Genomic DNA, 26,268 nt, shown 5'->3' on the forward strand with positions numbered 1-26,268 from the left:
AAGTGGAGTTTGAGATAAGCTTTGGGTTATAGATACAAAAGAAAAAGGGAGGGACTTTTTCCACTTCTTTAACTGCAGCATGGACAAATGCTTGGGAGCAGGAATAAGCTTGACATTGGAAAAGGCGTGGCTCTAAGCATATGAGCTAGAGTCAGGCAGACATAGGTCTGAGTCTGTCTCTGCTACTTGTTAGACTGATGGCCTTGGCACTTCTCTCTATCCTTTCCTAGGCCTCCGATTCTTTATCTCAAAGTAGGGGAAAGTAGCATCTGCCTCAATGGACTATTTTGAATATTGAGTGGGAAATGTGTATAAAGTGCTTAGCACAGTACTTTATGCATGTGATTGTTAATACTGAATGTCAACTTGACTGGATTGAAGGATACAAAGTATTGATTCCAGGTGTGTCTGTGAGGGTGTTGCCAAAGGAGATTAACTGTTTGAGTCAGTGGGCTGGGAAAAGGTGCCTACTCTTACTCTGGGTGGGCACAATCTAATCAGCTGCTAGCATGGCTAGAATATAAGCAAGCAGAAAAATGGGAAAAGTGAGACTGGCCTAGCCTCCCAGCCTACATGGGCTAGTAATGGAAGGCCCGTGTGTATATATATATATATATATATATTCCATTAGTTCTGTCCCTCTAGAGAACCCTAATACAATACTCTCTCTATATATATGTACATTCCATTAGTTTTGTCCCTCTAGAGAACCCTAACTAATACAATGTATAAGAAGCATTAAAAAACTACTGACCAATAATGGTGATAAATAATCATCAAAAATGGCAACTGGTTCATGAGGTGACCTAGAAATGTGGCAATCTATGAGACGCTAGTAGCTTGGTATTCCAGGAAAAGCTTCTAGAATTCAAAAACAGGAAGTAATAAAGATTTCAGACAGAAGGCCACGCCTCATATATATCCAGTGTTTCAATCATGTTACACATAGGTCTCAAATCTGTTCACCTGCTCAGGAAGGCTCTGAGGTGTTCTGCTGATGGGAAACCATCTGGAGTCTTTCAGGGGAAGGCTGCCCGCACCCATTTTCTGTTGGTCTAGTGCAAGGATTGACAGATTTTGTTCTTTTTTTCTGTGAAGGACCAGACAGTAAATATTTTAGGTTTTGTGGGCCATACAGTCTGTGTTACAGCTCCTCAATCCTGACATTGTAGTGTGAAAGCAATAGACAATATATAAGTGCCTGGGTGTGGTTATGTTCCAGTAAAACTTTATTTATAAAACCAGGTGGCAGATTTGCCCTTATGGGCTATACTTTGCCCACTCCTGGTCTAGAGTTTAACTCTCAGAAGACAATCTGAATTTTTAGTAGGTATGAATTTGTTCCGCAACACCTAGATTCAAAATACATCATAATATTTTCTTTTTATTTTTTAAAATTAAAATTTCAAATTTAAAAATTTAAATTATAAAACAATTCAAACATCTTTACATTTTTCTAAATAAAAATTATTCTTGCTTGGGCCATACTCCCCATGGATGGTTACAAATTCAACTTAGTAACGTTTTCAGGACAAACCCCTACTCTCCCTGGGGTCATATTGATAACCTATAGCATTTACATGACTGTAGGGGAGGAATGAGGACTTGACTCTCTTCTTGGTGGTCACCTTTGTTACTGTTACCTGAAATCCATGACTGCTTCTTCCACGATGCTCTAACATAGGACTCTTCTTGCAGACTGAAGCTCTGTCATGTCTCTTTTCGTGTTAGGCACTTAGTGCCCCGGACCCAAGGACATCCCTCAACCATCCTCCCTCTGAGGTATGGGTTTATCTGCCATTTGTAGGAATCCCCTAAGCTACCCTTTCTGTTATCAGAGAACCTCCCTCTGGTGGTTGTGCCATCCTTTCTTCTGTTTCACCTAACTCAAAGCACCAGGCTTCAACCATTCCCTTCTGGGACAATGCACTTCCATTTTCCTCATAAGAAGCATCTGATTTCCATCAGGTGGGGTTGGAGGTGGTAAAGGTGATGGTAAGAAAGGCTCAAACTTCTTAGAAACACAATAGTTTGGTGAAGTGGGAATTGGAGAGAGGGTTGCTTCCTTCTGCCCTAATGAATTAACAAGAACAATGTAAAGCAAAACAAAACAAACACAAGCCACCAGTTAGGTTTTTCTCTGAACTCCCAGGTCTTGGGAGGGGTATCTCATTGTGGTTTCCAAGTCCTGGCAATGTCCAGAATTGGACTATATGCCAAGGAAATGCCACAGAGGCTTTCAGAAAACTGTCAGTTTTGTTGGAGAAAGGGAGCTCACACACAAGGCAGACTCTTTCACCAAGTGTTTCAGGGGAAGGAGTTGTTAGACCTGTGATTAAGGCATAGTCCCAATTCTCAAAGAACTTATAACAAGACATGCACCCAAGACAGTCAAAAGGCCGTACAGTTCAGTGGGTATGTGATTGAATGGGGAGAGACAGCTATGTCTGCCCTGAACTTGGAAAGCTATTCTAAAAACCACCCCGGAAGGGAAATGTGGTTCCTACAGCTGTTCTCAAATTGCCACTTTGCTCTGATGACCTCTTTATGATCTAGAGACAATCTGCCTGAGAGACTTTGCATGTTTTTCACTGAGTAATGTGACAGGTGCTACCACAGTCTGAAAGGACAGAACAGCAGCTGACAAAGGGGCAAAGAATCCGTGGCTAGGCTTGGCTTTGTCTATTTGATACGTGTTTTATTTGTGGTGGGGGCTGAGGGAGGGGGTGAGGTTGGTCAAGGGATACATTTCCATTAGATAGAAAGAATTGAGAGATCTATTGTACAACATGGTGACTACAGTTAGTAACAATGTATTGTATTCTTGAAAATTGTGAAGAGAGTAGATTTTAAGTGTCCTCACCAACAAAAAAAAAGTTATGTGACTTCACATAAGTAATTCACATATGTATTACTTAATACATATGTTAATTAGCTCAATGTAGCCATTCCACAGTATTTACATATTTCAAAGCAACATGTTGTACATAAATATATACAATTTTTATTTGCCAATTTAAAAATTAATTAAGTTTTAAAAAGAGAAAATATATATGATTTTGTTTCATCTCAGCAAGTCCTCTGAGATGCCTGCAAGCCATAAGATGAAAAAGACCCTGTCTGGGCACGGTGGCTCACACCTGTAACCCCAGCACTTTGGGAGGCTGAGGCGGGTGGATCAGCTGAGGTCAGGATTTCAAGACCAGCCTGGCCAACATGGCGAAACACTGTCTCTGTTAAAAGTACAAAAGCTAGCTGGGCAGGGTGGCATGCGTCTGTAATCCCAGCTACTTGGGAGGCTGAGGCAGGAGAATCACTTGAACCCAGGAGGCAGAGGTTGCAGTGAGCCGAGATAGCGCCCCTGCACTCCAGCCTGGGCAACAGAGCAAGACTCCATCTCAAAAAAACAAAAAACAAAAAACCAAAAAACCCAAGAGCCCTGCAGGGAGGCAAACATCTTGTTCCTTTTGATACGTGGTATAATACTCCCCAACTTATTAGCTATGTGATTTTGGGCAAGTTAATTAATATCACTGTACCTCTGCTGAAAAAAAAAAGTATAAAAAGATTCCTCCTTCACAGAGTTGCTCAATTATTAAATTAGTTAATACATATAAATGCACTTAAGAGTATTTCCTAGTACATAATAATTGTTTGATAAATACCAACTATTATTATTCTGGCCTTTTCCTTCTCAAATGTATTTCTAAAGAATAAACAACCTGTAATAGGATTGCAGGCCAGCCTCTAATAAATGAAACACTAATGAATAGATGAGGCAACCCTTAAAAACTTAAAGGAGGTAATTCTAAGACGTGTTGAAAATAGTGTTGTCTTACACAGCAAGTACGAAGCATATGGAACTTACTATCCCAGGACCTGTCTAAGCCAAAAATGTAAATAGGCTCAAGGAGAGGTGAAGTAATATTCTGAGTGGTAGGACTTAAAGTGAGGACATGCCAAACTTCTGAGGGCACAGAAAGCAGCTGCTGTTTCTGTTTTACCCCCCTGGTGCCAGTGTTAGAGAGAGCAGGCTGAATTAAACATGAGCTGGTCTTTAGCAGAAATCTGTTTGGGTAGAGCTTAAAGAAGTGGGTGCTTTGATGGCTGACGCTTTCTAGAACTCATAGCTGGAGGTCTTTGACCTCTTCATTGTGGGTTAAATCCGACACATACCTGCCCAGGGACAGTGTTCAGTAATTTTTTTTTTAATTTCATTTTTTAAATTCAAAAATCATAATTGTGCAGATTCATGGAATATACAGTGACATTTTCATACATATATTGTGGAGTGATCAGATTAGGATAATTAGCCTACGTATCATCTCAAACATTTCTCATTTCTCTGTGTTGGGAACATTCAATATCCTCCTTCTAGCTGTTTGAAACTATATAGTATTGTTAACTGTAGCTATCCTACAGTGCTACAAAACACTAGAACTTAATCCTTTTATCTAGCTGTAGTTTTGTATCTTTTAACAGAATCTAAGGTTTTGCTGAGTAAAAGAGATTTCCAAACTCTTGGACCCATCTTGACCCCAAGGTAGTGAAAGGAGCCATTTTTCAGGAGTTTGGATGGTGGCAGCAATGTTTTTGATGGTCTGGCCCACAGCCATACTAATTCTTCTGCTGACATGGCCCTGAGTTGTGAGTTCGTTTGGGTATCAGGGCAAGTATTCCCAGGGCTTGCTTCATGATTGGTCTAAGCAACTGTGTTCATCTCATTCCCCTTTCCAGTAATTGGTTTAGTCATAGTTACATGACCCAATTCTGGCCATGGGGACATGAGGAATTCAACAGGGAAGCTTTTAGAAAAGATTTTTTTCTCTCAGGTTTAAAAATAAAAAAATACATGTAAGAAGTTGTTTTAGTCCTTCCTACTTTCAATACTATCATGTGAGGATGTGATTCACAGAACTACTACAGCTTTCTTGTGAACATGAGGGAAACTAAGAAGTTCAGCCAGAGTCCTGACATTGGTGAGCTACGGAGACAGCTTTAGGTCAGTATTCTTCCGGGCTTTGTATGTGAGATTGCTAATTAGCCCTATTGTTTAAGGCAACTTTAATTAGGTATTCTGCTACTTGCAGTCAAAAGCATCCTAACTGATGTGATTAGTATGTGTGTTTTGTTCACCACCAATGCCTAGCACAGGGCCTGACATATGGCTAGAAGCTCAATAATTGTTTTTTGAATTAGTGAATGATAGCACTGTTCAATCTTACTGCTGGGTCTACTCTGGCTATGTTCTGGCTCTGGTAGAGCAATTCCAGATAGGTCCCAGGAGGCTATCTGAGCCTGAGTAACCTGCCTGGAGTCTCAGCACTTGGCTGCTGGGTCTTTTTTTGTTCTTGACAGGTTTTCCAGGGTTGGAATTATGCCCCTGGCCAGTGGTGACTGATAGTTCTCCCTGAGACCAACCTCTGCCCAGACTGTGAAAGGACAACTTGCATATCTTCTGTTGCTGAGTTCCTTCTGGAGAGAAACTACGGTTACCTTCTGTTGAGCTGCCTCGCCATAGATCTCCTGCCTCGATTGCCAGGTTTGTCTGTTCGCATACCTCTGGAAACTGTATTTCTCCTGTTTGCCTGAAGAGCCCGGCCCCCGATCTGTATCTTGTCCAGGACTGTAAGTGCTCACTGCTCCTGGAAGGTGTGATTTGTTCCCAGCACCCAAACCCTGGTCTGGTTTGGTCTATCACAGACTTCCTGAGCTCTGGAAGGAAGGCTTTCCTCCTGATATACTCAGAAGCCATTTCTGTCTTATTATCATCATCTGACAGAGTTTGGTCTGAAGCTAATGAACAATGACAACAATTGCTTCTTCTGCAGGCTAGGAAGCCTCACCTGCAATTGTGAAATGTCAAGCAGAAGTTGAGGTAAAAGAGGAACAAGAAAATTTTCTTCTGCCCATTGTACACTTCTAAGATTAAAGAAAGAGTCTAAAGCTTTTTGAAACCTCTGTACAAGGACATTTCAACCTCATTGTTTACAAAATCAAAGAAAGTAAACTAATTTTCATTCCTCAGATTCTTGAGAATTAGAAATGGTGAAGTTTTTTGGTAAATATGGCCAGCCAAAAAGGAAGTCTACTCAAATGCCCACTACGAGTAGAATGGTAATTCAGCTGTGGTGTATTTGTCCAATAGAACACTGCCTCAGTGAGAGTGAATAGTCTCCAAACACATGGATAAGTTTCAAAATATAATACGGAGTTAAAGAAATCAGATGCATACACAGTGTATGATTCAATTTATTTAAAGTTCAAAACAGGTAAATTTAATGCGTGGTATTAAAAATCAGGATGGTGGCTACCCTTGTGGCAATGGGGGCTGCCAGAAGGGAACAGAAGATGGGCTTTTGAGATTCTGGTCATGTTCTACTTTTTGATCTGGGAGCTGGTTACACATGGTTAGTTTGCAAAAATTCAATAAGCTGTCCACGTATAATATGAGCACTTCTCTCTCTCTCTCTCTCTCTCTCTCTCTCTCTCTCTCTCTATATATATATATATATATATATATATGTGTGTGTGTGTGTGTGTGTGTGTATATGTTATACTTCAATTAAAAGTTAAAAATAATTACATGGCCATGGAAACAAGCCTTGGATCAGAAACAAGCAAAGATTCACAGAATCCTAGTGCCAAAAATGAGCTCCCTCATTTTACAGAGGGGAATACTAAGTGGTCAGGAAGTCCAGTGAGTCACCCAAAGTCACACTAATGAGCCAGTGGTCAAGCCAGACATGGAGCCCGTGTCTGATTCTAGCCCAGGGCTCTTTCATTGATTGGGCATAAAGGAAGTTGGATTGTGGCAAAAAATTTAGTGATGTTTCCTTCTGTGCATCTTTTTTCCTTTTTGTTGGATTTACTTGAGATACAGAGTTTTGGGGAAATGTTTAGGCATAGTTACTTCTAACAAACACTTTTGTTGCTTAATGGGTATATGGAAAACAACACAGATAGACAGGGTCAGAGGTTGCATAGTGTCCTACTCTCAGAAGAGCCCTAACCTTGCTTTAATGCTCTGCCATCACCATCTTGAAAGTCTTACTAATTTTTAAGCAATGGGCCTGGAACTTTTCATTTTGCACTGAATTCTATAGATTATGTGGCCAGTCCTACAAATAAATGCTGCATTGTTTAATGAAGAAGGTATGCAAGTCAAATACTTGTACTCAAATCTATTTTAAATGAGCAAGGAGAATTTGTTATTTAAAGGTAAATTCTATACAACAATAAATCAGTTTTATACAAGGAATAATCCCCCAATTTATTTATTTTGCCACTAAATTTCAGTACCACCAGTTGACTCAAGACAAGAGATCACATGAAAAGTGAAATAATAAATAAGAATCCTGGAATAGTAGAATTTAAGAACTAAAAAAGGATCCTAGGGATAATCTCATCCATCCTCTATTTTGCAGATGGAGAAAATGAAGTCTAAAGCAAGGGGGTGATTTGCAAAGAAATTGACCATGTAGATAGAAACTAGTGAACCTTGATCTATATAGTCCAATATCTGAAGACACAGTGATACTTGAAAATTTCTGGCCAAGTTTCTGGAGCACTTTTTTTGCCATCCCAGAAAAAGCCACCTAGGCAGGACAAAACATTAAACTTTGCTTAATGCAGAATCATTTGCTGGAAAGAAAGCATACAGGGAAATTGATTATATTTTGTGTAAAATAATTACCTTAATGTAGCCTCTGCCATATACAATGTTCACTTGTAAGCAGAAATGGCTGTCAGAATGGCTCTGCCTCAAACACAGTTTGTTAGCATCAACTTGATCCAACTCGGTATCTTCCAGATGCAGATACTGGCATCAGACAAAGACTCTGGCATGTATCTGAGGCCCTGAGCGTCCATCTCAATTCACCTCTGTTTGTCTTCACTGAATAGATTTAGGCGACTGGGTCATGGCTATGTTCTGCTTTAGAGCAACGGCATTTCTGCAGCCAGAAAAACAAAAGAATGAATTAAAGTGTTTAAGTAGCTAATATGGGTCAGAAGTTCTGCTGGGTGACACAGATGCAAGGACATACCTCTGTTTCCAAGGAGTCCACAGCATGGCTGGGGAGGCAGACACAGTTGCAATTCAAGACGATGAGTATACAGCATAGATATGCAAAGGGTAGTGGGCTAGTGGGGCTACCTCGTGGAGCATGGCAGGAAAATGGAGAGCAAAGAAGGGCTTCATGCAAGAAATGAGTCTTAAAGGATATGTAGAAGTTAACCTGATGAAGGGCCCAGAAAGGAGATGACATGGCAAGTGGGGCAAAGAACTCCAGGGGAGAGTATGAATAAAGCCAGCAAAGGGTTTTCAACAAGAAGTTATTGGTGCTTCAGGATGATTACTGTGGACAATGGCTACAGGAAGGTGGAGGGAAGGATGACAGGCAGTGGTCCAGGTAAACAAAGGTGGGAGTCTGAGCTACGATGCCTGTCACCCCTTCTCAGAGAAATAGTCTGGAAACAGTGAGGAGGTAAAATTATGAGGGCTTAGTCATCTCTAGGTGTGGAGGCTAAGAGAAAAGACCAAGAGGCTCTATTTTGTTGCCTGGGTGATGTCGATATAGTAGTTTGGCTGACACAAGCGTTGAAGGAGGATAAGATTTAAAGAGAAGATTGAGGAATTCTTGGAGATGCTGAGTTTCAAGTGCCTATCAACCATTTAGGTGGATAATTTTCACCATTTCAAGCAGAAGCATTGAAATTTTTCTTATTTGCCTGAATATATGTTTGTGATAGTCAAATGAGTTCAAAGCTCACATGTGAATATAATATGCAATATTACACATCTTCATTTCAAGTGAGCATGCATATCATTAGGTATTCATTTTTAAACCATGTCTAGATATAAGAGAGTAGGGAAGTTAGAACACAATTATATTGCTAGAAGGAGCCGTAATAATCATATTCTACATAAAGCAATTTGAGCTCCCTGAGGCTAAGTGACTCTCCCAAGGTTTCCAGCTATTAAATGGAAGAGTTGAGACTCCAACCCAGTTCGCTATCCCCTCCCACTTTCTGCTTCATCAAGGTATTGAAGATGGCTGCAATTTACAGTCTAAAGTGTGCTATAGTGTGTTTACCATGCTAACCTCCCATTTGAAAAGAGAGCTTTGAAAAACTTCCTGTCTCCATTTTTGCTTCTCACCTAATCACAGATTTATTTATTCCCTCAACTTCAGGTCTCAACTTTATCCCCTGCTTGTTTTAAAGTTTCTTTGAGAAGTGCCTTTGAGAAAGTCCTCATGAGCTGGCGTTGATTCCATGGTTTCCAGTGAAGTGGGAAGCTCACTGAGCACCATCACTCATTGTGGTCTGTTTGCCTTCATTTACTCTCAGAGTGGGCAGAGTCTTGAATAGCTAGAAGCACAGGGAAAGGCAAAGCAGCAAAACACTGGGTCAGGTTTTCCTCCCAATCATACTTTTCAGAGAGAGAGAAACATGATCAGAATCCAAGACAAGCAGGTGTTCAGCATCTACTAAGAGGGCTTTTGAAGCAACTTTAAGGAATAGTTTTTAAATAGTTCTGCCTGGGCCTTCAAATCACCTCCCATCCTAAATTTTAAGAAGCAAAATTATTATGTCACTGCAAATGTGACGATTATTAGAGACAAGGCTTCAATTTACATCAAATGTATGTATTTCGAGGGTGCCTTATACCACCCATGTGTACAGCAGAGTTGTACCCAAATTATAGAAATCAGCACAGAAAATTTCTTTCTAAAATTATTATAGATTTATAGTAGAATTATTGCATGATGGGGCAAGTTTCTCTGTCCCTGGACCATCATTGCCTTGCTCTATACTTTCTCCTGATGGGGGAGGGAATTTTAAGCATGTCGAATCTAAGTTATACTTTGAGAAGTCAATATTGGCAAGAGGGAATTAGTCTGTCTTATTGCTCCACTTTGAAGAATGTAAAACCATGGGCAATAGTATTTGGCATCATGGCGACTACGGAGATTGAAGTAGGTGCCCTGGGCTGGGAGCAGGGGAATAGGAAGAAGCGGGGAAATTCATGGAAGGTAGGTAGCTTCCAGACCCATGAGCACAGACTTTGGTACCAAAGGTGAACTGTTAAAATATTTTGCCACCCTCTGCATTCTGAGTGTGTCCCAGATTTGTCTTAAGCAAGACTGGGTATTCTCTGGTGAAGAGCTGTGCTTTCGCACCCTCCCATGCCATGCAGCAGGGTTCCATTTGCTCTTGTGACATGTCGGTAAGGCCCATGGATGTTGAGTCTTTGGTCAGGAATGCAAAATAAATAATAAGAATTACACACTATTCTTCTTTTTTAATTCATGTCTTTTTTTTATTATTATTATACTTTTAAGTTTTAGGGTACATGTGCACAATGTGCAGGTTAGTTACATATGTATACATGTGCCATGCTGGTGTGCTGCACCCATTAACTCATCATTTAGCATTAGGTATATCTCCTAATGCTATCCCTCCCCGCTTCCCCCACCCCACAACAGTCCCCAGAATGTGATGTTCCCCTTCCTGTGTCCATGTGTTCTCATTGTTCAATTCCCACCTATGAGTGAGAACATGCAGTGTTTGGTTTTTTGTCCTTGCGATAGTTTATTAAGAATGATGATTTCCAATTTCATCCTTGTCCCTACAAAGGACATGAACTCATCACTTTTTATGGCTGCATAGTATTCCATATGTATATGTGCCACATTTTCTTAATCCAGTCTATCATTGTTGGACATTTGGGTTGGTTCCAAGTCTTTGCTATTGTGAATAGTGCTGCAATAAACATACACACACTATTCTTTTTTGACCATCTACTCTGTGCTGAACACCATCCTAGGTATGTAGCTTGACCAACATCTCAAAGCCAGGACAGTGGTACCTAGACAAGAACCCAGGACATAGGGTACTATTTCAGAGCTCTTTCCACTGTACTATATTGCCTAGTGTTTGTGGTCAAGTATGGGGCTGTGTGTGCACATAGGGATGGAAAACTGTTGAGATCCCAAAGAATGAATCTTAGATGGTGAAGTTCCAGCCATATGATAAGAGTGGGATTTCGTCTGTTTCTCTGCAAATAGTGCCAATAGAAATGCTACCCTGCCTAGGTTAAGGATGTGTTATAGAATGTGGTTGTTAGGAAGGCTTAAGACAATAAATGGTAAAGAATCTGGCACAGTGCCTGGCACACAGAGGTAATTAATTAATAAATGAAAGTATGATTTCTAGAGGGCCTCACGCTGCGTATTTGAAGTACTCCTTCCTATTGTGGTGCCTCTGGAAAGCCATAAAACATAGTAATTATAGCTTATACTTATAGCATAGTACATAGAACTTATAGCTCATCTTCCTTGGGTAGCCTGGGGATGCCCTGGGTTTGGAGGCCTCTCCATGAAGGGATTTTTGGCTGGTTCTGCCAGGCCCAAAGAGTTCATCTTGTAGGTCCTGTCCAATGTTTCTCAGTCATAGGTTCTGTTTTTCACTAATGATACTTCCACCCAAGACCTGGAACAGAAAGCTTACTTCCAAATGCTACTTTTTAGATCCAGATTACAGATGGAGCAGAGTTTTTCTGACCCTGACATTGTGCAGAGATCTGTTCTGGCTGCTTGCCTGCCTATGTCACTCTGCTTCCTGCTTAGGCATCAAAACCTCAGACCTTAACAGGCAACTAAGACTTATGCCTGGAGGGCTTCACAGCTCTAACTCCCACCTGCTATACTATCTAAAGACTCCTTTGTTTCTGATTCCTGGGAATTTCCCTTTCTTGTTTGCATGTGTATTAAAGAAAAACTGCTAAGCTCTGAGCATTCAGCCCATTTATTGAATGACCCCAGGCCCACTGGAAATTCACTCAACCAGTTGTGGACTTCTTTGAAACCAGATTTCCTTTTATTACAGAAAAGGAAAGGAAGAATTTACATTCTGCCTCATGGGCCAACCGGAGACCTGAACTCAGAATCTTGCCTTCTGGGTGTATGTCCTTCTTTTTGCCATATCCAGGTTCTTTCCATTTCTGCTTGGAGAGACCTGCTGAAACCACACTTGAGGGAGGCAATGTGGCTCTCCCTGACCAGGTACAGAATAAATCCAGCTTTGTCTCAGACCATGTTTGGTGGTCTGTTGTTACTGTCCAACACAAATCTATTTTTAATTTTAAAAAAATATGAACAAATATAGTTATATATATAACTATATAAAAAGCTATAACTATATCTATCTATCTATACACACACACCAGCCTTTTTGTTTTTTTGGAGCAGTCTATTTGTTTATTTGGGGATGGGGGTGGCTTATACGTCTTTAAGTCTGTCACCTTGTCTAGAGGTCTGAATAACTTCAGCATTTGCAATGTGGCTCACATTGTAATAACTCCACAAAGGTCCTCAAGGTCAGGAGAGTGTGGACAAACACAAATGAATAAGGAGGGAACACTAAAAGTGTTTTTCCTTGATGTAGAAAGGCTCTCAGTGCCCAGGCCAAGGGCACAGCTTTGCTCTTCAACCCAAAGTTGCAGAGGCAGAAGGGCCACTTTCTGTGTAGTCAGGAATCTGGGTTCCTACCATCAGCAGCCATATGGGTTTGGGAACATTCGTCAGCTAGAGAACTCACTGAGATGGAAAAAGAAACTTTTCACAGGACAGCCCAAAATATTTCTTGAACTTATGGAAAACTGGTAGTGACTTTCTCCATGTGCCAACTGCTGACATGCATTTTTGTTTAAAGATATACCAGGTAGAAAAATAGTGAAATGTTTCAAGGAATACCTCAGCTGATGAGTGTTGGCTGTTCTGGGGGCTCACAGAGAGCAGTGTAGGGATTGAGGTATAATTTTTGATGTAGAAGAAAAGATTTGGAACAGTACTGACACACAGTAGGCATGACATAAACTTAGCTATCATTATCATGTACAGTAGAATGATAAAATCCCACAGGTTGGTTTAGCTGAGGCACTGATAGCAGTAGGTGTCAAGTACTCTCACATTCCAACGTGAGTCACTAAACCAGCTAGAACATCCATGTAGACCATCCATGTTGCAAAGGGAGTGGCTGGAGCCTGGTTCTGCCAGAGTCAGGGAGGTTGAAGATTAAGTGAGGGAGAACAAGTATTTCTTTAGAGAGAGTTGTCAGAGGTCCATGGAGTTTCCACTTTCCAGGGAATAGAAGTATTTCTCCATCACTGTGAACCAAATGAGAAGGATATGTCAAGCAAGCTACCCAGAGAGCTTACCCTGCATCTTCTCGAATTTAGGGATATGAGGACAGGTGCCTGATACACATCTGGAAAAATCTATAGGTGGGAGGCTGTAGCTAAAGAGACCAGAGCTGAAAAATAGAGGCATAGGGAGGGAGGTCACTTTTTGGGGGGAAGGTGGGAGGCAAAGATATGGAACCCATGGAAGGGATCTTGCTGTCAGTTGTCTTGAAAAGGACACTTCCCAAGAGATCATCCTTTCTGGGGTGAGGTGACCTGGGCAGAGAGAAAGCTGGAGTACTGCTACATGCAGAAACTGAGGGTGGAACGGGAACCAGAAATGGCTGTCAGGGAGGGACAATATCACACCAGGGAATTACAGTTGAAGCCATCTCCCATCTACCCCCGTGTGTGTGTTGTGTGTTGTATGTGTGTGGTGTGTGTCGTATGTGCATGTGTGGTGTGTTTGTGTGGTGTGTGTGGGGTGTGGTGTGTGGTAGTAGTGGGTGCGTGGTGTGTGTGTGTGGTATGTGTGTGGTGTGGTGTGTGCGTGTGGTGTGTAGTGTGGTGTGTGTGGTGTGTGCATGTGTGGTGTGTGTATGGTGTGGGGGTGTGTGTGTGTGGTGTGTGGTGTGTGTGGTGTGGTGTGGTGTGTGTGTAGTGTGTGGTGTGTGTGTGGTGTGTGTGTGTGGTGTGTGTGTGGTGTGTGTATGGTGTGTGTGTGTGGTGTGTGTGATGTGTGGTGTGTAGTGTGTGTGTGGTGTGTGATGTGTGTGTGTGGTGTGTGTGTAGTGTGTGGTGTGTGTGTGATGTGTGTGTAGTGTGTGGCATGTGTGTAGTGTGTGGTGTGTGTTTGTGTGCTGTGTGTGTGTGCTATGTGTGTGGTGTGTGTGTGTGGTGTGTGTAGTGTGTGTGTGTGCATGTGTGTGCGTGTGTGTGTGTGTGTGTGTGTGTTGGCAGTGTCTCTAAGGAATTTACAACTCAGAGGCAAAAGATTTAGCATTTATCATTTGGCTATCCCTCCTACCAGGGGGCATCAGTACCAGACTCCAATTGTACCCATCAGGAAACGTCTTTTCTGCTCCTTTTCTAGCTTCATCTTACTCCCTGGGGACCCCTGGAGCAGCACTGTGGGTGGAGGTAGGAAGACTATAAGATATAGAGAAATAATGGTGAAGCCAATGCTATCCCCACTCTGTTCCACACGGCAGGATTTCAAGCCTGCTTTAGACCTAATGGAGGAGAAGTTTTAAATTAGATGAGAGTTTAAAGTCCACAAAATGGGATTCCAGGGGCAGTTATGAAAGAAATTAGTTTATAGTTATTGCACTTTATCAAGTTCAATGGTCTTAAGTCAGTTCTAGCAGCAGAGCCTGAGATAGGTATTCAAGTGCACAGTATTGAGAGAGTGCTTAATGCTCTCAGGAGAAACTTGAAGGAGAGGGAGTGAACCAGGATAGGGCTGGGGAAGAGGCTAGGCAAAGATGTGGTCTCAGGTAAAGACTCATCTTGGTCTGATCCACGAGGGACTGTGAAGCATAAATAACACCACAAAGATGTCCCACTTTGTCAGTCTGTTGGGGTGAGGTGGGGATGGAGAGTAACCTCCCCAGTGAGTTAGCTCCCATCAGCCATGGGCAATCCTTCAGACAGGGGGCAAGCTTTGAACTATTAACAGTGAACACTCAAAGCAGCTGAGAGATGGGTGCTCCAGCCCAGTAAAAGGGACCTAGATGGGCACCAACAGTGACTATTACAGCACTTTATTTCAAAGCCCATTCCATAGCCTTTTCTTTTCAAGAACTTTAGCAGTCCCCTTGAAATGTTTTTATGTGCAGTTGACACCTACAGTAGAGTCTTAGTCTTGGGAAATGCTCTGTCAAAATATGTGTTGAGGAAGAGAAAGTTCCCCTGCCCAAATTGTGCCACCGCATTGGGCCTGATGTGTAATAGCACACTTCTTTTTGGAATTTGGTGTGTTCATTACAATAATCGTAATGTAACATAGCACACACTTAAGATTTCCTCTTTCCTAGAATAAAAAACTATGTGAACTAAAATCTTATGCACCCCTAACACTGTGAGGTGCAATACAAGGGCACAAATGGAGGCTGCCTGCATACCCTATATCCAGTTACCTAAAAGGTAAAAACCATGCCAACAAACTGATAGATAAAATAAGTTGTATCCCACTACATTTATATATATATATATATATATATATATATATATATATATATATGCCTTCATAACAACCTGGTCAAGTTTGAGTTCATAATTTTCAGATTCCTTAAAATTTCATATTAAAATAATATGGCAGAGGAGAGAGGGCCCCAGCCTGTGGCTCACTGACACTGTACTTCCTATCCCTGCTTCCATTTTGTCCTGTGAGCACAAGCATATTAGACTGCTTGGAATGCCATGACAAAATGCCATAAACAGGGTGGCTTAAAAAGAGAACTTTATTGTCTCACATATAAATGACTATTGTCACTGTAAGCCACTAAGTTTTATGGTGATTTTTTAATGCAGAATTAGATAACTAATAAAGGAGAGAAGTACAACAGAAGGGCCATCCCAGAACCCTCTAAAATGTGGGGCCTAGGACAGGGGCTACTTTTGCTTGGAGCTAAAGGCAGTGCTGACTATAGGATATCAATTTTGTTTCTTTAGGGACCTGGGGATTTCCTAGGGAAGGGTGGGTTTATTTACACAAAAGAAAAAGCAAAACCAGACAAAGACACAACAAAAAAAGAAAACTAAAGGCCAATGTATCTGATGAACATTGATGCAAAAATCCTCAACAAAATACTAGCAAACTGAATTCAACAACACATTAAAAAGATTATTCTTCATGACCGAGTGGAATTCATCCCACATATGCGAATCAATAAATGTGACACATCTTATCAACAGAATGATGGACAAAAATCATATGATCATTTCAATGATGCTGAAAAGGCATTTGATAAAATTCAACATCCTTTCGTGATAAAAACTCTCAAAAAACTGGATATAGAAGGAACAGACCTCAACATGATAAAAAAAATTCATGTGCAATAAACCTACGGCTAGCATCATACTGAACAGTGAAAAACTGAAAGCCTTTCCTCTAAGATCTGGAACACAACAAGGGTGCCCACTTTCACCATTTTTATTCAACATAGTACTAGAAGTCTTAGCCAGAGCAATAGCAATTAGACAACAGAAAAAATAATAAAAGGGCATCCAAATTGGAAAGGAAGAAGTCAAATTATCCTTGTTTGCAGATGATATGATCTTATATTTAGAAAAACCTAAGGACTGCATCAAAAACTATTATAACTGATAAATAAATTCAGTGAAATTGCAGGATACAAAATCAACTTACAAAGATCAATAGTATTTCTATATGCCAATAATGATCAATCTGAAAAAGAAACTGAGAAAGTAATCCCAAATTTAGCTACAAATAAAATAAAATCCCTAGGAATAAACTTAATCAAAGAAGTAAAGATCTCTACAATGAAAACCATAAAACATTGATGAAAGGAATTAAAGAGGACATAGAAAAAATAAAAAGATATTCCCTGTTCATGAACTGGAAGAATCAATATTGTTAAAATGTACATACTACCCAAAGCAATCTACAGATTCAAGGAAATCCCTATCAAAATACCCATGATATTCTTCACAGAAATAGAAAAAATAATCCTAAAATTTCTATGGAACCACAGAATACCCAGAATAGCCAAACCTATCCTAAGCAAAAAGAACAAAGTTGAAGGAATCACCTTACCTGACTTCTATTATACCCAGAGCTAGAGTAACCAAAACAGCATGGTGCTAGCATGAAAACAGACATAGAGACCAATGGAACAAAATAGAGAACCCAGGAATAGATCCATGCATTTACAATCAACTCATTTTTTATAAAGGTGCCAAGAACATACATTGGGAAAAGGACAGTCTTTTCAATAAATGGTGCTGGGAAAACTGAGTATCTGTATGCAGAAGAATGAAACTAGACCCCATCTCCCACCATTTACAGAAATCAAATACAGATGGATTAGAGACTTAAATCTAAGACCTTAAACTATGAAACTACTACAAGAGAACATTGGAGAAACTCTCTGGAACATTGGACTTGGCAAAAATTTCTTGAGTAATGACCCACAAGCACAGGCAACCAAAGCAAAAATGGACAAATGGGATCACATCAAGTTAAAAAGCTTCTGCACAGCAAAGGAAACAAAGTGAAGAGAGAACCCACAGAATGAGAGAAAATATTTATAACCTACCCGTCTGATAGGGGATTAATAATCAGAATATATAAGCAGCTCAAACAAGAGGAAAAAACAAATAATCCAGTCCAAAAAATGGGCAAAAGACACTTTGGGAAAATGAGGCGGGTGGATCACGAGGTCGGGAGATTGAGACCATCCTGGCTAACATGATGAAACCCCGTCTCTACTAAAAATACAAAAAATTAGCTGGGCGTGGTGGTGGGCACCTGTAGTCCCAGCTACTCGGGAGGCTGAGGCAGGAGAATGGCGTGAACCCGGGAGGCAGAGCTTGCAGTGAGCCGAGATCGCACCACTGCACTCCAGCCTGGGCAAAAAAAGGCAAAAGATTTGAACAGACGTTTCTCAAAAGAAGACATACAAATGGCCAATAAGGATATGAAAAAGTTATCAACATCACTAATCATCAGAGAAATGCAAACCAAAGCCACTATGAGATATCATCTCACCATAGTTAAAATGGCTTGTATCCAAAAGGCAGGCAATAATGAATGCTGGCAAGGATGTGGGGAAAGGGGAACCCTCATACACTGTTGGTTGGAATGTAAGCCACTGTGGAGAACCGTTTGGATGTTCTCTAAAAAACTAAAAATAGAACTACCATGTGATCCAGCAATCCCATTGCTAGGTATAAACCCCCCGAAATAAAATCAGTATATTGAAGAGATATCTACACTCCCACGTTTATTGCAGCACTATTCACAATAGCCAAGATTTGGAATCAATCTAAGTGTCCATCAACAGAAGAATGGATAAAGAAAATGTGGTGTGTGTGTGTGTGTGGGTGTGTGTTATGTATATATATATATATGAAATATTATTCGGCCATAGAAAGAGTGAAAGCTTGTCATTTACAACAACATTCATGGAACTGGAGGACATTATGTTAAGTGAAATAAGCCAGGCACCAAAAGACATATATCACATATTCTCACTCATATGTGGGAACTAAAAAATACATTGAACTCATAGAGAGTAGAATAATGGTTACCAGAGGTTAGGAAGGGCAGTGGGAAGAGGGGGATAATGAGGGCATGGTTAATGGGCACAAAAATACAGTTATAGAAGGAATAAGATCTAGTGTTTGATAGTATAATGGGGTAACTATAGTTAAAAACAATTTATTGTATATTTCAAAATAACTAAATGAGTGAAATTGGAATGTTTCTATCACACAGAAATGATACATTCTTGAGGTGGTGGATACCCCAATTACCTTGATTTGACCATTATGCATTGTATGTTTGTATCAAAATATCACATGTACCCCATAAATATGTACAACTAATAGATATCCATAATAATAATAATTTTTTAAAAAAAGGAACTTAAAGCACTCATTAGGGTGTTTGAGATCAGGAGACTTTTCTTACCAAAACTATAACAAAAGAGCCTTTTATCTAGAGTACACAAATAAACTAAAATGTAATGAGACATTTATTTGCTTGTTTGTATAAATACACCAAAATATACGCATTGGAATAGTCAAAGCGGAAGGCAATTTACTTAAGCCAGTGATGCTGTCGGTTGGTTTTCAAAAATGCCTGTGAAACTTCTCTTTCGGAATCACCCATGAAGCTGGATTATGAGCTCCCATGAAACCAGACTCATCACTCAAACTAAGACTTGGTTTGTGACCCCAGACAGCGTTTCCCAGCATGATCACCCAACCTACTCAGCAGACTGCTCCAAATGGCTTAGAACTGTTTTCAAAACTCACATCCTCCCTGTGAGGATACATGCTGTCAGAATTATCTTTCTAAAACACATCTCAGATCATGTGCTTCACTAGCTCTCAGTTGCATAGATAATTAAGCCTCAACTTCTCAGCCTGATTTTCAAAACTTTATTATACAACCCCCACTCAGCCTTCCAGTTCTGTCATCGACCAGCAGTCTCCTATGAACACACGATGCCCTCTCTAGTTACCAATGAAAGGTACCATTTACTGAGCTTTTATTATGTGCCCCACACTGCACTAAAAGCTTTAAACAATATCTCATTTTATCCTTATAGGATTTTGTAGGATAAATATTATCTCTATAGTACAAATAATAAAACAATGATTGCTAGCTGTTTTTATAGTGCTTACAATGTGCTAAGGTATTGTTCTATAGAAATATGTGTGCCACATATGTAATTTTACGTTTTTCATAGCCACATTAAAAAGTAAAAAGAAACAAGTGAAGCTGATTTTAATAAAATATTTTGTCAAGGAGCATGTAATTAACATAAAAAATCATTAATGAGATATTTCACATTTTCTTCCCTTTTTTTTGGCACTAAGTCATTAAAATTGGTGTGTATTTTACACCTATAACATATCTCAATTTGGATGCTAAACTTTCACTGGAAATATTTGAATTCCAATGAAATCAACACAATAAATACTGTGTTTATATTTTTAAAAATGCACGGTAAAAAAAAAAGTAGATTACACACCCAAGTTGTTACAAACATATTGGGAAGAATCAAGTAACAAAAAGTCATTTCCTTTTCTATTCTCATCCAAATTGTTAAAAATTCCTTGGATTTAACATTTTAGATTTCACTTTCAATCAATTAAAAGAGTTAAAATTTTAGTTTCTAATGTTGCACTAGCCACATTTCAAGCCTCAGTAGCCACATGTGGCTGTGGCTGCCATGCTGGACAGCACAGCTCTAAGCACTTTACTACTATGAGGTAGGTGCTGTTATTATCTTCACTTTATTCTCAGCAAACTAACAAAAGAACAGAAAACCAAGCACCACATGTTCTCACCGCATTGTTCAAGTGGGAGTTGAACAATGAGAACATATGGACACAGGAATGGGAACATCACACATCGGGGCTTGTCGGCAGGGGTGGGGGGCTAGGCGAGGGACACCGTTAGGCGAAATACCTAATGTAGATGATGGGTTGATGGGTGCAGCAAACCACCATGGCACATATACATCTATGTAACAAACCTACACGTTCTGCACATGTATCCCAGAACTTAAAATATAATTTAAAAAAAAGGAAAGAAAAGAAAAGAAAAAATAAAATGGAGGCACAGAAAGTCGTAACTTGCATTAGTGCACTCAGCTGACGGACTGAATGGTTTCATTTGTCAGAATGCTTTCATTTGCTCAGAATGGTTAATTTGTCCAAGGTGACTTTGCTAATAAGGGTTAGAGCCAGGAGTTGAACTCAGGATTAAGTTCGTAGCCTAAGTTTTTGCCATGGTGCTCATTGCTCTACACATTTAATTGCTCGCTATTATCCTAAAATCCTTAATTGATGCTGGTCTTTTTTGTCAGACTGTTACCTCTGTCTGTATTGCCTTGCAAGTTCCATTTTAAGTATCATTCATTCACCCATTTATTCACTCAGTAAGTTAATTGCTTTTTCCAGCAAATACTGTTAGCCATTTTTCAAATATCCGCCACATAGACAATAGCCGTGAACAAAACAAGGCAGACCCGGCCTCTGCCCACACAGAACTTTTAGTTTAACAGCACTTCTCAAACTTAAATCTCCAGACCCTATAACACTCTAAACATTGTTGAGGACCCCCAAGAGCTTCTGGCTATGTAGGTTATAGCTATTAATATTTATTGTAATAGAAATTAAAACTAGGACATTTTAAAAACATTTATTTATCCATTCATTTAAAGATAACATAATATGGCCGGGTGTGGTGGTTCACACCCATAATCCCAGCACTTTGGGAGGCTGAGGCAGGCGGATCACTTGAGGCCAGGAGTTTGAAACCAGCCTGACCAACATGGTGAAACCCCATCTTTACTAAAAAACACAAAAATTAGCCAGGCGTGGTGGCACGCACCTGTAATCCCAGCTACTCGGGAGGCTGAGGCAGGAGAACCACTTGAATTCGGTAGGCAGAGGTTGCAGTGAGCTGAGATAGTGCCACTGCACTCCAGCCTGGGTGACAGAGTGAGACTCTGTCTCAAAAAAAATAAATAAATTTAAAAAAGGAACATAGCATAATAAACCCATTATATGTAAACACAAAGAGTGTATGATTATGAAAATATAACTATATTTTCCAAGACAAAAATTAATTAGGAGAGTGGCATTGTTTTCCAACTTTGCTAATCTCTTTAATGTGTGACTTAATAAAAGACAGCTGGATTCTCATCTCTGCTTCTGTCTTTAATCTGTTGCAATATGTTGATTTGGTTGAAATGTATAAGGAAAATCTGGCCTCAACCAGATATGTAATTGGAAGAGAGAGCAGTGGTCTTAACCCATTTATGCTGGAGGTTGCAAATTTTTGAATTGCAGACATGTATGAAAAATCAGACCTTGGTGATGACCCTGAGCAGTAGGATATAAATAACTGCCACATGCTTAGCGTTCCAATAATGGAACACTAGGCATAAATGGGTTAATAGGCTCTTAACTGTGAAAATTGTTTTTTTGCTGCTATTCTGAAACTCAACAAGTGATTGTTTATTAAAGTTTAGCTACAATATGGAATCTGAAACCATATCAATTTCATATATTAAAGTTACATTAAAATTCATTAGTCTACCTTGCACATTCAATGAATTTTATTATTATTACTATTATTTTGAGATGGAGTCTCGCTCTGTCACCCAGGCTGGAGTGTAATGGCGTGATCTTGGCTCACTGTAACCTCCGCCTCCTGGGTTCAAGCGATTCTCCTGCCTCAGCCTCCCGAGTAGCCAGGATTACAGGCATGAGCCACCACGCCCGGGCCTCAGTGGATTTTATATATGCTTTGGTAACAACATGCATTGTTCATTTGGAAAACATTGATTCACTGAGTTATACAGCTCTTTCAAATGTTGACACATTTCATTATTTATTTAAGAATCACATTCACAGCTGGGCACGGTGGCTCATGCCTGTAATCCCAGCACTTTGGGAGGCCGAGGTGGGCGGATCACGAGGTCAGGAGATCGAGACCATCCTGGCTAACACGGTGAAACCCTGTCTCTACTAAAAACACAAAAAATTAGCTGGACATGGTGGCACGCACCTGTAGTCCCAGCTACTTGGGAGGCTGAGGCAGAAGAATCGCTTGAACCTGGGAGGTGGAGGTTGCAATGAGCCGAGATTGCGCCACTGCACTCCGGCCTGGGTGACAGAGCAAGACTCCATCTCAAAAAAAAAAAGAAAAAAAGAATCACATTCACTAATATCAGCACTGATCAAATCAGAAAAATCTTCAAGTATCAGGAGGCTGTCAAGCTTGTACAGGCAGGTACAATTTTTCCGAAATTCCGATTTTTATTTGAATGCTCAAATTTTACCATTGGCAACATATACTGTGAGTTGTTTTTCTTGAAGTAACAGGCTCATTTTGTTCATTTTTGAGAAAATATCTGCCAAATAGTCAAGTCTGAACAATCGTAGTTTGTCTGATGTTCTTTCAAGTAAAAATGGTGCTCCTTGAGGGAAGCATCTAGCTCAGCTCACAAGCCAAACAGTCATCAAGAGCTTTTCCCTGAGAGGACCATTGGGTTTCAATGAGCAGCAAAAATGCTTAATGCATACATTCCCATTCTGTCAAGCAGAATATTAAACAGATACATATTCAAGGGCAGTAATTTAACAAAATTAATCATTTTTAGTGCTTAATCAAGGGCATTCTTAAGTAAAACTAGCATTTTTTCTCATAGTGAATAAGAATACAATGACTAATGGTAAGTTTATTGCCACTGTCTGTTTTTGCTAATGCACCAGCAGTATTTTTACCCACCATTGCTTTGTACCATCAGTGAAAATATCAATCCAGTGAACAAGGTAAATAACATTTTAATATTATCATGAAACTAGTTTTGACCTCATGAATCCCTTGAAATGATCTCAGGATCCCAGGAATCTAAGTACCACACTTTCAAGACCAGTGGTCTAGAAGGAAAAATAATTGGACAAGTACATGGGTAAGCTTGTTCACTCCAAGGGGTCAAGGAAGTCCTCATGGATAAAGTGATATTTAAGGTTAGACCAGAAATATATGTATCAGTGACCCAAGTGAACAAAGGGCAGGGTAGGGAAGGGGAGTGTCAGGCAGACATAGAGGTGTGTCTGTAAAAGCTGGAAAAGAGAGGCAGGCTGCAGGAGCTATAAGAGGCTCATTTGGCTGGGACTTGAAATGTCAGAAGGAGAGCAGTTAATGATGAGGCCAGAGAGATGGCAGGGCCAGCCAGCAAACAGTCTTGCAAATACATTGAGGGCATCACATCACCTCTGTTTACTCCTGAAAATATTTAACCTGAATCTAATCATGAGGAGACAGCCAGACAAATCCAATTTGAGGACATTTTGCCAAATAATCTGACTGGACTCTTAAAAAATGTCAAGGTATCAAAAGACAGAAAAAGTCTGGGAAACTGTTCTAAATTAAAGGAGACTACGGGAGACAGGACATCTAAAAGCATTACATAATTCTTTATTGGATCTTGGATTTAAAAAAAAACACTGTCTTAGTCCATTTAAGCTATAACAAAGCACCTTAGACTGGGTAACTTATAAACAACCCAAATTTATTGCTCACAGTTCTGGAGGCAGGGAGGTCCAATATTAAGGTGCCAGCAGATTGATGTCTGGTGAAGCCTTGCTCTCTGTTTTATTGATGGTACCTTTTGTGTTCTCACGTGATGAGGGACAAGGCAGTTCCTTTCAACCTCTTTTGTAAGAGCACGAATCCCAGTCATGGAGGCTCTACCCTCTTGACTTAATTACCTCCTAAAGGCCCCACCTCTTAATACTACCACATTGACAATTAATTTCAACATATGAATTTAGGGGACATATTCAGACCATAACACCCAACAACAACACCACCAATAACTATGAAGGACATTGTTTTGGGACAATTAGGGAAATTTGAATATGGACTACATATTAGATAATGCATATATCAAGGTTACATTTTCTAAATGTGTGGTTGCATTTTGGTTATATAGGAGAATGCCTTTGTTCTAGGGGGATAAATGCTGAAGTATTTAGGGATGAAGTATGACGTCTGTAAATAGTTTAACTCTCAAATATTCATCAAAAACTGTATGTACATACAGAAACAGAGAGGACAATAAGACAAATGTAGCAGAATGTTAACAATTGATGAAATTTGATGAAAGCCCTAAGGCATTAACTTTACTACTCTTGCAAATCGTCAGTAGGTTTGAAAATTTTTCAAAATAAAATGTGGGAATATAATGAATTTGGGCTTTATTTTAGAATCAAAAGAAGCTATGGAAAGATGGTAGCCAATAATCAGGATTTGTAAATAAGGGATCAAAACCAGATTCAAACAGGAAAGTTACTAACTTGTGATCAGACATGATGGATGATGCTGGTCCCCAGATTTCAGAATCCAGATCCCCTCAGGTCCTACCACTCTGCTCCCAACTTTTCTCTCATTCCTGTTTCTCTGTAACACTTGGCCTCATTCTTTCTAATTACAGACAAGAGTCCTCTGCCAGGGAACAGTGGCCTCAGGCGAGTCTGAGATTGCTTTTTTACTGTCTCTGAACCCTACCTCCACTAACAGATTCTATTTGAGGTTAACCAATTGCCAAGAAAGAAAGCATTCTCAATGGTCCTGGGGGGGTCCATAGGTTGCCCTTTGACCAATCACTGAGGTCACTGATGTGAGCGACAATAATTGCTTCTCTCTGGTCCTGCACTTGCCCCGTGAATCAGTTTCTCCTCTGAGAAGCAGATGCCAAGGAAGGATTAGATTTACAAGAAATGTATTGGGGGAAATGTTAGGAAAGGATAGACTGGAAGGGAGCTGGAGTAGGCAGGGAGAGCCTTCAGACTGTGATGCAGGCTTGACATTTGGGAAAGAAGAGAGGAAAGGAAGGACTAAGTAGGAAGAGCCTCAGGCCACAGCACAGATCTAAGAAAGTCTTGTCTGGGCTAATGGCGAGTGCCCACAAAATGACGGTCCATTGGAAAAGCACTACATCAGGTAGGAATGTCCTACTTCTAGACCCCCACCATGCTCATTGGCTGGGAGCAGCTTTGGGGAAGCATGGTCTTGATATAAACACCATGGTCCATCCCAAGATGCAGCATCTGGGGCCTGTAAATTGACTATACCACCACTCCTCCAGTAGATATTTGAATTGCACTCAGAAGGAGATTTGAATTGCACACTTCACAGTTGCCACACTCTGTGGGTTAGAAAGGGAATGGATACCGGGTATATATCCAAGTCAAAAGAAATCATTTTACCAAAAAGGTAAATGTACTCGATTGTTCATTGCAACACTGTTCACAGTAGCAAAGACAGGGAATCAATATAAGTGCCCATCAGTGGTGGACTAAATAAAGAAAATGTGCTACATATATACCATGGAACACTATGCAGCCATAAAAGGAATGAAATCATGTGCTTTACTGCAGCATGGGTGTAGTTGGAGGCCATTATACTAAGTGAATTAGTACAGGAACAGGAAACCAAATACTACGTGTTCTTACATATAAGTGGGAGCTAAACATTGAGTACACATGGACATAAAGATGAAAACAGTAGACACTGGGGACTACTGGTGGGGAGGATCGAAAGGGAGACCAGGGTTGAAAAACCACCTATTGGGTACTATTGTCACTACTTGGGTGATGGAATCATTTGTACACCAAACCTCAGTGACGTGCAATGTACCCATGTAACAAACCTGCACATGTACCCCCTGAAACTAAAATAAAAGTTGAAAAAAAACAAAGGGAATGGGGAAAATGTAAGAAGAGATGTTGGACAAGAAAAAGCTTGAAAGTGTATTTGTCCTGGAGGGAAAGAATCCTGCCTTTTCTTTGACTTTCAGTCTTCA

General features: G+C 40.2%; 1 long non-coding RNA gene across 1 annotated transcript in view, besides 1 other annotated feature; it reads left to right on the forward strand.

Annotated features, from left to right (window-relative positions):
• The window catches only part of NPHP3-AS1 (NPHP3 antisense RNA 1), a 152,462-nt gene extending 146,433 nt beyond the window's left edge, over positions 1-6,029 (forward strand). The window contains exon 11 of the long non-coding RNA NR_002811.2: positions 5,359-6,029. This is a non-coding gene — a long non-coding RNA (NPHP3 antisense RNA 1). The remainder of the gene's footprint in view (positions 1-5,358) is intronic.
• Positions 11,507-12,043: an enhancer, noted in NCBI's record as "NANOG hESC enhancer chr3:132598533-132599069 (GRCh37/hg19 assembly coordinates)". NCBI's record gives its function as "activates a minimal SCP1, AML or CMV promoter by ChIP-STARR-seq in naive H9 embryonic stem cells {active_cell/tissue: H9 hESC(naive)}" and the evidence as "EXISTENCE:reporter gene assay evidence [ECO:0000049][PMID:30033119]".

This window comes from Homo sapiens, chromosome 3 (genome assembly GCF_000001405.40).
Source record: "Homo sapiens chromosome 3, GRCh38.p14 Primary Assembly".
Lineage (NCBI taxonomy): Eukaryota > Metazoa > Chordata > Mammalia > Primates > Hominidae > Homo > Homo sapiens.